We start from the raw sequence: 12,479 nt of genomic DNA on the forward strand, positions 1-12,479 counted from the left end.
TTATATATTTAGAAGAAATAAGATTTGTTTTTCCAGTTAGGTCCCAGTGTAAAGCTTTTTTGTTTTGTTTTTCCCCAGAGATGAACTAATAAAAGTTCTAGGCTGCATCTGCATTTACCAACATAACCATTTCAAAAACAAAATAGAAAATGTTAGTCAATTTGTTTTAACAGTGATAATAGTAAAACAGCAGCAGCACTTTTTTCAGTGCTTACTAAGTACTAAAGCAATGCTTTATATGCTGTTTAATTTCTTTTCTTTTCTTTTCTTTTTTTTTTTTTGAAACACAGTCTGGCTCTGTCGCTCAGTCTGGAGTGCAGTGGCGCCATCTCAGGTCACTGCAACCTCCACCTCCGGAGTTCAAGTGAGTCCCTTGCCTCAGTTTCCTGGAGTAGCTGGGACGACAGGCACGCACCACCATCCCAGGCTAATTTTTGTATTTTTAGTAGAGACAGGGTTTCACCATGTTGGCCAAGCTGGTCTCCAACTCCTGACCTCAAGTGATCCACCCGCCTCGGCCTTCCAAAGTGCTGAGATTACAGGAGTGAGCCACTGCACCAGCTTTAATTTCATCTTTACCATGCCCTTGGGATGTAGATAGTTTTGTCCTAATTTTACAGATAAGAAAACTTTGAATTACAGAGGTCATATAATTTTCCTATAACAATAGTTGATGTCGGGGCAGAGTCATTCACACCTGGTCTGCCCCACTCCAAGCCTATCCTCTTTACTCACCACACAATATTAAAGATTTGACTGAATGTCATCACTAACTTGCTGAATGACTCAATTGAGCTGAGTTTTCAGATAATCAGTTGTACATGTAGTCACACAAAGTTATGCAAATATAAAATGTGTAAGATGAATAATAATGGTCAGGATGGAACCCGTTCTTTTCAAAAATATGATTACCCTTAGTATTTTGAAAGCAAAAAGTAGTTTCAAGCATTACTCCATTTCAGTAAGACTGCTTTGTAAAAGGTCCTAAGCTTGTTTGTGGAGTCATGATATACTATGAGAGAACAGATCCCCATGAATGGGTAGGATTTGAAAATCCTCTTGGCATCAGAAGAATGTGAAAGATTGTCCTATTTTATTCAGGGAGACCTCATTTTTATATCTAGTTGGACAGATACTAGTCAAAAGACACAGGGATTCTGTTTATACCCAGTTGAATAAGAAAAAAACCTTGCTTTGTGAACTATCACTTCCCACTGAACCAAAGAGTATATTGGATATTGCATGGTAAATTACACTGGCCACATGTGGTAGTTCCTAAGTAATTCCAGGTGTCTGACAGTTTGACCCAGCATAGGGAATGTAATTTTCAACAAGCTGGCCCTGGAAGCCAGGAGACCCTTCAGGCTACAATCTACACACTTCATTCCCAATTTCCACCTCCCCCCACCTTTGAGCTCCCCTTGCCATCATAGCCTCTGGTTCACACTGAAGCTTATGGAAGGGAGCAGGGATGCCATCACTAACTATGATTCCAACTACCACCTATTTTTCTAGCAAGGATGCTGCCAGTAAAGCAAATACTCTGGCATTTTAAAGAAGCTTAGAAATCAGGTCCCATGAACTGACAAATTGTTTCCATGCATGTCCTATTTGAGTGCTTCAATGAGGCAACTGTTTCCATGTTTGTTCCACAGTGATTGGTAACTCAGGGACACTTAATGAAACTGCTTCCTATCCATATTGACTATGGCTTTTTGAGAGCCATTAACCTTGCCAAACCTCACTCACTCTAGGTCCACCTCTAAGGGAGGTTTAAGAGCAAGTTTTGTGCTTTACGGGGAGGAATGCATTTCAGCCTGAACCACTGCCACCTCATTCCTAGCCCTTGGCCTGAGAGGAGCACCTGCATTTAACTGATTCTAAGTGCCTGGCAAACCAGAGCGGCAACTGCACTGAGCACTTCCAGACTCTGCAGTCTGTGACTTTAGTGAGTACGAAGCCTCAAGCATGCTCTTTTAGCAAAGATTAATAGCAAATACATTTCTGTGATGATTTTGCACAACTAGCTTTTGGTTCTTGATTAAAATCAAGAAGACAATAGGTATATTCAAAAAGTGATAAACTAAGTGAGGTCACCATTAAAAAGTTCTTGAAATTCTTCTGTTTATTTTTTTTCCTTCAGCTATTTTTACAATTACTTCTCCTTCTCTCACTTTGTTAAATGAGTCAACGTGCACAGAAGGTAATTTTTCCAAATCAATTTCCCGATAACTAAGAATTACTACCTGGAAATGGACTGGGGACATGCGCCTAGACTGCGCAAGTTGAAAGAGGAAGGAAAGTTGATGCCCAAGAAATAAACAGATGGAGGCAACCAAGTCAACACATCTAAGAACAGAGTTGTTGGGGGGTGGGGGATGTGGTATGAAAGAGGACCACTCATGAAAAAAAATTGCCTTCTTTATAAAATATATGAAGGGTAAAATTTGAGGTTGGGTTAGTTGGTAGAAGTAATACTGAGTTAGAATTAAATGGACCATAATGAAGTAGGTTTAGTTGGGGTCTTAAAGTTACAAATGTCATAATTAGACTAAACACTAGTGAGAAAACAACTTGTGATTGACTCCATTAAATTTAGAGCTGCAATAAAGTTTTATGGTAGGGAAAGACTGAAATGACTGTGGTTGGTGCACACACGGAAAAGGAGCATGAAATAAGGTATTAAAGACAATTTTTTTTTCAAAACATGAGAGTGGAATAAGGGGTGAGATTTAAAATAACATTACGTGAGTGTATGATAACACGCCTTAAATATAACTCCTTTCATCTGTATGCCACTTATAAAATGACTTGAAGGCATGTGGGCATGTGAAAAGAGCTCAGTAATTTCAGTCTGCCAGCTCTATGGCAAGCCACAGAAGCTAATTAACAGTGCATAGCAATGTTTCACAATTGTTTCATTCTGGAATGGAAGAACAATTTATCTCATTGAAAGGAGGGGGAAATTTAAGGTGAAGGTAATTGCTCAAACTGGATCTTGAGCAAACACATACCCCTAACATCTGTCGGTTAGAGTAAGGTTATTGAAATTATCTTGGCATTTTTAATTAGAAGAAAATGGGGCTTCAGTTTTCTGTTTCCTCCACACAATCTTAACAAGCATCTAAGACACTAAAGATACAGAAACCTGATGACTGAGATTGCCTGAGAATCAGCAAAGAAAACCCAATGATTATAAACACATTTTAAAAGAAAAAGAGCATCACTTTACAAAATGTGGCTACTTGCACATGTAAGGAGTTGAAGTGAAGGATTCCTGTGGAGTAGAAGTGTGATGGGTTTGGAATGCATGGATTGTTTTAGAAAGATCGCCTATTGGAACACAGTGCCAGAGTGCATCAGTTTGGAAGGTGATAAGGTGAGGGTTTTTTTGTTTTTGTTTTTGAAAAAAGAAGAAAGAAGAAGAAGGGTCTTTGATAGAGGAGCAGTTATGGGAGAGATTAAGTGATCCGAAGAGAAAAAAATTAGAGAGTAAAGGCTAGTAACAAGGACTCCAAGAATTGAGGAGGCTGTAGGGTAAGGGAAGGGTGGGCCGTGTCAAAACTCACCAGCTCCGTCCGCAGTAACGATGGCCTCGGGAGAGATGCACACGCCCCTGTCGTACACTGGCAGCTCCTCGCAGGCCAGGTTCTCCGGCCACGAGTGGCGGTACTTGATGAGTATGGGCTCACAGCCCTGCCGGGCCCGCTCGCACACAGACTTACAGGGCTTGATGGGCTCGTGCTGGAAGTCAATGGTGCAGATGGGCGCGTACATGGCACAGAGGAAGAAGAGCAGATCGGGGCTGCAGTGGGTGCCCAGCAGACCTTCGAACTGCTCGATGGCCAGGATGGCGTTGGCCTGAGTGCTGTGGTGCAGGTGGTTGGGCATCTTAGTCATGTTCCAGGGCAGGGACTTGCACAGGGGGATGCGGACGGGCTCACAGGCTGCAGCCCGAGCCCCGGGCACCCGGAGCAGGCAGAGAGCAGCCAGGGCAAGCAGCCCGGCCCGCAGCAGCAGCATCCCTCCCGGGCTGCCGCAGACCATGATCCCGGCAGGATGGGGCAGGGTGCAGCCGCGCAGTGGACGCCAAAAGGCCCGCTCCGCCGTCTCCGCCTCCCCCGCTGCAAGTGGACACAAGGATCTGGGAGCTTCTCCTCCCCCGGCAATCACCGCTTCCTTGGATCAAATTCCCCCAATGGGGTCCCACGAGCTTTACCGAGCTCCAGCCACCGCCCCTGCCGCCCAGGCTGCTCTTTCCCAACGTCTAAGCCTTCGGAAGCAGCAACATCTATTTATTCCTCTCCCTCTGGCAGAAGCATCAGACTTCGCAGATCAGTCAGATAAGAGGGACACGAGAGGAGGCGAGGAAGACATAAAAACAAAAGTAGAATTCAGCTGAGAGCTAGTTGGAGCTCTGGGGTGTCTCCTCCCCTAGATCACGCACACAAAAAGATGCTAAAGAAAGCATTAAATTCCCCAAAGTGAGGAGGACAGAGGGGTTGGGGGGAAGGAGGGAGGAAAAGCTCCTAATGGGAGAGAAGGGTGCAGTAAGAGTTTACAAGTCCTGTGTGGGCTAAGAGCTGCGGCCGCCGCTGCGGCTGCGACCCTGGCTGGCAGGAGGGACGCTCAGGAGGAGCCCCGCAGGGACGTCTGTGCCTCTGCCCGGGCGGCTCTGCACTTTCCTACCTCCCGCCTGAGAGGGAGCTCCGCCCCTGGGGCAGTCTCTGCCCTCCAGTGCCGGCTGCTCTTCCCGAGAATGGAGTGGGCGCCCGGGGAAGAGAAGGCCTGGGAGTCGCAGGCGGTGGGGTGCGAAGCCGTGCGAGTGCGAGACCCCAAGACAGCGCCGAGTCGAGCGCGCCCTCACACTAGGGAACCCGTCTTTGGCCCCAGAAACGAGCCCCTAGCCCCTCACTGAAGAGCCCACCCCAATTCCCTACGGAAAAGTCCCCCTAGTTCCCCACTTGGGAACCCACCCGAGACCCTCCTTCCTGGAGGTATTTCCTTTAAGCAAACTACAGCTTTTCCTCTGCAATCACTGGCTCTGCAGAAAGTCAGACCTGGTGGGGGGAAAGGCTTAAGCAATGTCACTTTGTCCAAGTAGCGGAAAACACAGACCCCTGCGAGCAACGGTGGAGCCATATCAACCCAGAGCTAGTGACTACAGAGGTCTCCATTTTCAATAACTGCGGGGGAGGAGGTGGGGGGAGGATTGCCTTTAAAAAAAAAAAAAAAGAGAGAGAGAAACAAAGAAATGCTGTTCATGACTACAAATAGGCCACCAGAAGCAAGGAAAAGGGGTTTTTTCCTTCTATTCCCGCCCCCCCCACCTAGTGGAATTAGAACTCTTGAGCTTTGCTCCTTAAGGGTTAACGTGGAAACTAACAGCTCTAATACACTTGGACTTTTTTTTTCTGATTTTGCTCACGGATAACATGGCAGATATTATTTGTTATTCTCAGCAACAATTCTGCCCGACACTTAAAAAAAAAGTGTAGGAAAACGACATCACGCAGGTAATAATGATGATTATAACAACAATCAAAACCTTTCCATCCAGATGAGTTCAATCTGGAGGAGAAAATGGAAAACAGATCCCCTCCTGGTCTGCTTCTTCCACTAATGAGCTCCCTCTTCCCCCCACCCCCGCCCCACTCTACCCTTTCAGCTTATATTGTAAATGGAATGACCTGCAGAGGCCTTCACACTATGCCCTCTCAATGGGAAATCACTGAGCAAAAGGATTGCCGAATGTCAGAAAACACAGCCTTCATTGAGAGGAGAAGGAAACAAAACCTGAAACAAAACAGGAAGTCACCTTTGCTCTGCATCACTGAAATATTTCTCTGCTTCAATTTAGCCATCTCTCACCGTCCATAACAAGCAGAGAAATATGTCCCCACTTCAGAGCACATAGTGAGATGCTCATTTTCATTCCCTAGAGTGACTTGACAGCACTTATAAAATGTCAATGCTAACTTGAGTTATGGAATTTTATATCTAAAATGATCATAAACAGCAGTTTGTGACTGCTGTAAATTTTTTTGGAAGGAAGTTTGTTCCACTTATGGTGGCGGGGGCGGGGAACACCAGATGGTAGACAGGGAGTCAGTTAGTATACAAACTTTGCCTGGTCTACAATTATCTAGTGTCATGTAAGAGAACAAATTCAAAAATTGTACAAACGAATTTAAAATGATTTATCAAGTAAAATTTAGAGGAAAAACAACTTTAAAAGACAGTCAACATTAGAACATTTTGGGACTATTTTGTATAAGAAAAATATAGCTGAGATTTTCAATAATTAGAAGAAAAAACATCAGGAGTAGATGTAGTAGATTGTTTGCTAAATACATTTTTCTGTTCATCTTAAGTCTTACAGTGTGAGAAGAAATGTGCCAATAGTTTTAAAGGTTCTACAACTATTTGAAACAAAGTCTGTTTTCCTTCCCCTGCACAAAAGTCAGCTATCTTCTTTGTCTAATAGGTCCCCTTACAACTTTAATCCAAATTTGTTTTTATAAAAGCCCAAAATAAATGTCACTGTCTTGAGGAAGCCCTTTTGAGTACCTTGTCTAGTTGTGTTCATTTTTCTGGTTAGTTACCCTTGAACAGTGTTTGTTTTTACAAATTATTCCTTTATTTATTTATTTATTTATTTTGAGATGGAGTTTTGCTCTTGTTGCCCAGGCTGGAGTGCAGTGGCACTATCTTGGCTCACTGCAACCTCCACCTCCCGGGTTCAAGAGATTCTCCTGCCTCAGCCTCCCTAGTAGACTCACAAGCTCCCCACTTGTGAGTCTCCAAAGTCTGTTATACCTCTCAAAGATATGCCTTCTTGTACCCATAGCTTTGCTCTCATTTATAAGTGAGAACATACAGTATTTCATTTTCCATTCCTGAGTTAAATCACCTAGTATAATGGCCTCCAGCTCCACCCAAACTGCTGCAAAATACATTATTTCATTCTTTCTTCTGGCTGGGTAGTATTCCGTGGTGTATATATACCACATTTTCTTTATCCACTCATCATTTGATGGACATGGACACTTAGTTTAGTTCCATATTTTTGGTTGATGGGCACTTAGTTTGGTTCTATATCTTTGCAATTGTGAATTGTGTTGCAATAAACATATGCATGCAGTTGTCCTTCTGACAAATTGATGTCTTTTCACTTGGGTAGATACCCAGTAATGGGATTGCTGTATCAAACTGTAGGTCCAGTTTCGTTCTTTGAGAAATCTTCACACTGTTTTTCATAAAGGTTGTACTAATTTACATTTCCACCAGCAGTGTATAAGCATTCCCTTTCACCACATCCACACCAACATCTATTGTTTTTGTTTTGCTGAGACGGAATCTTGCTCTGTCTCCAGCCTGGAGTGCAGCGATGTGATCTCAGCTCACTGCAACCTCCACCTCCCAGGTTCAAGTGATTCTGCTGCCTCAGCCTCCCGAGTAGCTGAGACTATAGGCACGCACCACCCTGCCCAGCTAATTTTTGTATTTTTAGTAGAGACAGGGCTCACTATGTTGGCCAGGCTGGTCTCGAACCCCTGACCTCACTCAGGTGATCCAACCACCTTGGCCTCTCAAAGTGCTGGAATTACAGGTGTGAGCCACTGAGCCCAGCCAAGTTTTGCCATATTTCCCAGGCTGGTCTCAAACTCCTGGGCTCAAATGATCTGCCCACCTTGTCTCAAATGATCTGCCCACTTACAGGTGTGAGCCCCCACCAAATTATTAATATACTAATACTCTGCTGGAAACAAAAAATCTATGGACACCAGATTCAAGGACTTCAAAGGGCTCCACACAATGCATATCCAGGTTATGATATGCATTGGTTATGATAGCCAGAGGACACCTGGCTGTCTGAGAGCTGCAGCATAGCGCCCCCTAGCACCTAGTTGGGACTATGGGTTAATTCCAGGCTCAACCACTGCTTAGGAAGTGCACCCAGACCCAGTGATGGCCAGTCAAGCTTCTTAGGATGAGTAATGATACCATGATCATTGACATTTGGTTTAACTTCCTGACAGGTAGGTGTTCCTGTGGCAATGTCAAGAAAAAGATCATGCTAGAGTATATTACTTTGATATAGCCATATTACCAAAATTCAAATTTGGCCAATTTCCCCCTCCCTGCCCCAATTTTGCAATGTCTTATTTTGTCAGTAATTTGAATATTCACATTATTTTTTCATCTGTTTAAATAAACTGTAAACCTATCCTAGGTTTGTGTTAATAAGTCTGCCCACATCTTTCCTATAAGAAAATGTGTTTGCAAAAAATAAGAAAATATTCTTACATTTTCACAAGCAGAGCTGATATGTAAAATAGTTAAAAACTGGTACAGTTGAACACCAGTGAGTCAGAATGGCTGTGGCCAGGCCCATTCTGTACTATCAGGGTATCAAGGAGCAAGGAATTAGTGTTTATTGAGTACTTGCGAGTACTTTATGTGAGGTATGTAAACCACTTTTTAAGCACATAAACTGCTCAAGGTATTAGTTCCAAAGATGAAGAAAATAAGGCTCCATAAGATGAAGTTTCCCAAAGTTCTCACAGATAAATAAGGGCCTGGCAGAGTGGGATTCGAATCCATGCTCTTTTAACAATTCCAATCATCTGTTTCATAGGCAGAAAAGAGCCAGGGAAAGGGAAATATCAGGGATCTCTGTGAGCTTGGGTCTCAGCCTGCACCCTGACCACACCAACTGTCAGATATTGGCTCTATCTTCTTAAGAATGGAAAGATGTCGGCCGGGTGTGCTGGCTCACGCCTGTAATCACATCACTTTGGGAGGGCAAGGCGGGTGGATCACGAGGTCAGGAGTTTGAGACCAGCCTGACCAACACGCTGAAACCCCGTCTCTACTAAAAAAAAAAAAAAAAAAAAAAAAAAAAAAAAAAAAATTAGCCAGGCGTGGTGGCGCATGCCTGTAATCCCAGCTACTTAGGAGGCTGAGGCAAGAGAATTGCTTGAACCTGAGAGGCGGAGGTTGTAGTGAGCAGAGATCGAGCCACTGCACTCCAGCCTGGGTGACAGAGGGACACCCGTCTCAAAAAGAAAAAAAGAATAAAAAGATGTCAAGATGTCAAGCCCAATGAGAAGCTTTGGATTTCAGATGGGGAGACCTCCTTGCTCATAGCCTCTCCCTGAGGTATTCTGCAGACCTAGTAATTCCTTGAGTTCTGCCTTAGGAAGAAGATCTTACCCTTTCCCATCTCCACGCAAACCAATAAAAGCTTCCCAACTGTTCAATGCAGCAACATTAGGGCAATGATTCTCAAACTGAATCATGCAGCGGAATCCCCTGGAAGGCTCCTGAAAACACAGGTTGCTGGGCTTCATCCAGAATTTCTGATAAGGTAGGTCTGAGAATTTGCATTTCAAATAAGTTATCAGGTGATCCTAATACTGCTGTCGAAGAACAACACTTAAAATCACTCTTTTGAACTAGATATTAAGCTCTGATTTACCCCAAGTAAATGCTTTTCATGCTATAAAGATTTCATGATTTTATCTCCTTTTATCTTTTCTCATAGGAAAATTGGAAACAAAATTGTAATAAAGCAACCTAATAGCTAAATGACTCTCTAAAGTTTGTCTAGATAACTCTACCACTCAAAGATCATAATAATAGCCCCAATGAGACTCAGCCTTACAATCAGCTGGCCCTCTGACCTTTATGTACTGTCCTAAGGGTCACAGCGTCACTCTACCTCTGTTGTAGAAGAAGAACGATAGATCCAGCTTCAAAGAAGTTCCAGAGGGAATCTTAATATCTTAGTGGTGGAATGAACCTCAACAATCTAATCCACCCACCTCTTTCACCTCTGCAACCTTCTAGCCCTCCCCTCCATACCTTAATTTGAAAAGAAGACTTGAGATAAAATCACTTACCCAAAATCATGAAGTTAATGGCACGTATGGCAGATGTACCTACCAGCAGCAATAACTCAACTTAAGCATACCCTGAGAATGACCCTATGGTCTAAAAACAATGTGTGTTCAGAGCTGCGAGGTAAGGAATTCAAAAGTGACCAATCCAGAGATTAATTCATTATTTATGAGGAACATATGAACCCCCAGCCCATCCCATGGAATGCAGGCCATACAGGGGATTGAGGCTGTTTGTTTTGGGTTAAATGAAGTTTGTTAGGTAGGGGTTCCTAAGGAGAGGGTGCCAAGTGAAAATTCTGTATAAACAGCGTGATTTCTACAAATGGTAGTGGTTCTGCTGTCCAACCTACTGCCACTGGACTACCCTGTATGTAAGTTCCCTCAGTAAACTCCATGTCTCATTTGCTGGCTCTGGGTCCCTTCTTCAGCTTCTTGAACATGGTATCACCCTTACTGAAGTCAATAGGGGCCTGGTGTGACACGGCAACTCATATGGTTTGACTGTGTCCCCTCTGTCCCCAGCAAATCTCACCATGAATTGTAATCCCCATAACCCCTATGTGTCAAGGGCAGGACCAGGTGGAGGTAATTGGATCATGGGGGCAGTTTCCCCCATGCTGTTCTCATGATAGTGAGTGAGTCTCGTGAGATCTGATGGCATTTCCCCTGCTTGCGCTCATTCCATCCTGCCGCCCTGTGAAGAAGGTGCCTGCTTCTCCTTTGCTTTCCGCCAAGATTGTAAGTTTTCTGAGGCCTCCCCAGCAATGCAGAACTGAGTCAAGTGCTGGGATTACAGTAAATTCTATTTAATTTTCTAAAACTATCTGCATTTATTATTTTGACTGAAACATAAATATTGTCCCCACCATAACTAGAGACCACTCAATGGTACCATAGCTAATCTGACGTGAGATTAAATAAAATTTTGGTGACTAATTAAAAATAGGATTATCCTAGATTATCCAAATAGGCCCAACATAACCAACAAGGTCCTTAAAAGACTCATGAAGTAAACCTAACAATGCCATAAGTGTGACATTTTGGGACGAGGGAGAAATGTCAAGAGGCATTTTAGGCAACTTTCTACGTGATATGTGCTATGTAAAACTTAGTCTGGCCAGGCGTGGTGGCTCATGCCTGTAATCCCAGCACTTTGGGAGGCTGAGGTGGGCAGATCACCTGAGGTTGGGAGTTCAAGACCAGCCTAACCAACATGGAAAAAATCTGTCTCTACTAAAAATACAAAAGTTAGCAGGGCATGGTGGTGCATGCCTGTAATCCCAGCTACTCAGTAGGGCTGAGGCAAGAGAATCACTTGAACCCGGGAGGCAGAGGTTGCGGTGAGCCGAGATTGTGCCATTGCACTCCAGCCTGGGCAACAAGAGTGAAACTCCATCTCAAAAAAAAAAAAAAAATTACCCAGCTTTGTGCTCACTTCACCAGCACATATACTAAAATTGGAACAATACAGAGAAGATTAGCATGGCCCCTGGGCAAGGATGACATGCAAATTTGAGAAGCCTTCCATATTTTTATGAACAGAAAGGAATAGCATCAACATCAACAAAAAGGATGTCCACACAAAAACCCCATCTGAAGGTCACCAGCATCAAAGACCAAAGGTAGATAAATCTGTAAAGATGAGAAAAAAACAGCGCAAAAAGGCTGAAAATTCCAAACACCAGAATGCCTCTTCTTCTCCAAAGGATCACAACTCCTCGCTAGCAAGGGAAGAAAAAAACGGGACGCAGACTGAGTTTGATGAATTAACAGAAGTAGGCTTCAGAAGGTGGGTAATAAAAAAACTCCTCCAAGGCATCATGCTACCGGACTTCAAACTATACTACAAGACTACAGTAACCAAAACAGCATGGTACTGGTACCAAAACAGAGATATACACCAATGGAACAGAACGGAGCCCTCAGAAATAATGCCGCATATCTACAACTATCTGATCTTTGACAAACTTGACAAAAACAAGCAATGGGGAAAGGATTCCCTATTTAATAAATGGTGCTGGGAAAACTGGCTAGCCATATGTAGAAAGCTGAAACTGGATCCCTTCCTTACACCTTATACAAAAATTAATTCAAGATGGATTAAAGACTTAAACATTAAACCTAAAACCATAAAAATCCTAGAAGAAAACCTAGGCAATACCATTCAGGACATAGGCATGGGCAAGGACTTCATGTCTAAAACACCAAAAGCAATGGCAATAAAAGCCAAAATTGACAAATGGGATCTAATTAAACTGAAGAGCTTCTGCACAGCAAAAGAAACTACCATCAGAGTGAACAGGCAACCTACAAAATGGGAGAAAATTTTCGCAACCTACTTATCTGACAAAGGGCTAATATCCAGAATCTACAATGAACTCAAACAAATTTACAAGAAAAAAACAAACAACCCCATCAAAAAGTGGGTGAAGTATATGAACAGACACTTCTCAAAAGAAGACATTTATGCAGCCAAAAAACACATGAAAAAATGCTCATGATCACTGGCCATCAGAGAAATGCAAATCAAAACCACAATGAGATACCATCTCACACCAGTTAGAATGGCAA

General features: G+C 43.3%; 1 protein-coding gene and 1 pseudogene across 1 annotated transcript in view, besides 1 other annotated feature; one reads left to right on the top strand and one right to left on the bottom strand.

Moving 5' to 3' along the window:
- FRZB (frizzled related protein) overlaps nt 1-4,132 on the bottom strand; it is a 33,363-nt gene extending 29,231 nt beyond the window's left edge. Inside the window, exon 1 of the mRNA NM_001463.4 lies at nt 3,570-4,132. Within this exon, the coding sequence (NP_001454.2) occupies nt 3,570-4,047 (478 nt within the window). The 5' untranslated portion in view covers nt 4,048-4,132. The remainder of the gene's footprint in view (nt 1-3,569) is intronic.
- Nucleotides 3,295-4,263: an enhancer, noted in NCBI's record as "H3K4me1 hESC enhancer chr2:183730528-183731496 (GRCh37/hg19 assembly coordinates)". NCBI's record gives its function as "activates a minimal SCP1, AML or CMV promoter by ChIP-STARR-seq in naive H9 embryonic stem cells {active_cell/tissue: H9 hESC(naive)}" and the evidence as "EXISTENCE:reporter gene assay evidence [ECO:0000049][PMID:30033119]".
- On the top strand, nt 11,336-11,442 carry RNU6-1122P (RNA, U6 small nuclear 1122, pseudogene; annotated as a pseudogene).

The sequence above is a fragment of the Homo sapiens genome, chromosome 2 (genome assembly GCF_000001405.40).
Source record: "Homo sapiens chromosome 2, GRCh38.p14 Primary Assembly".
In the NCBI taxonomy this organism is placed as follows: domain Eukaryota; kingdom Metazoa; phylum Chordata; class Mammalia; order Primates; family Hominidae; genus Homo; species Homo sapiens.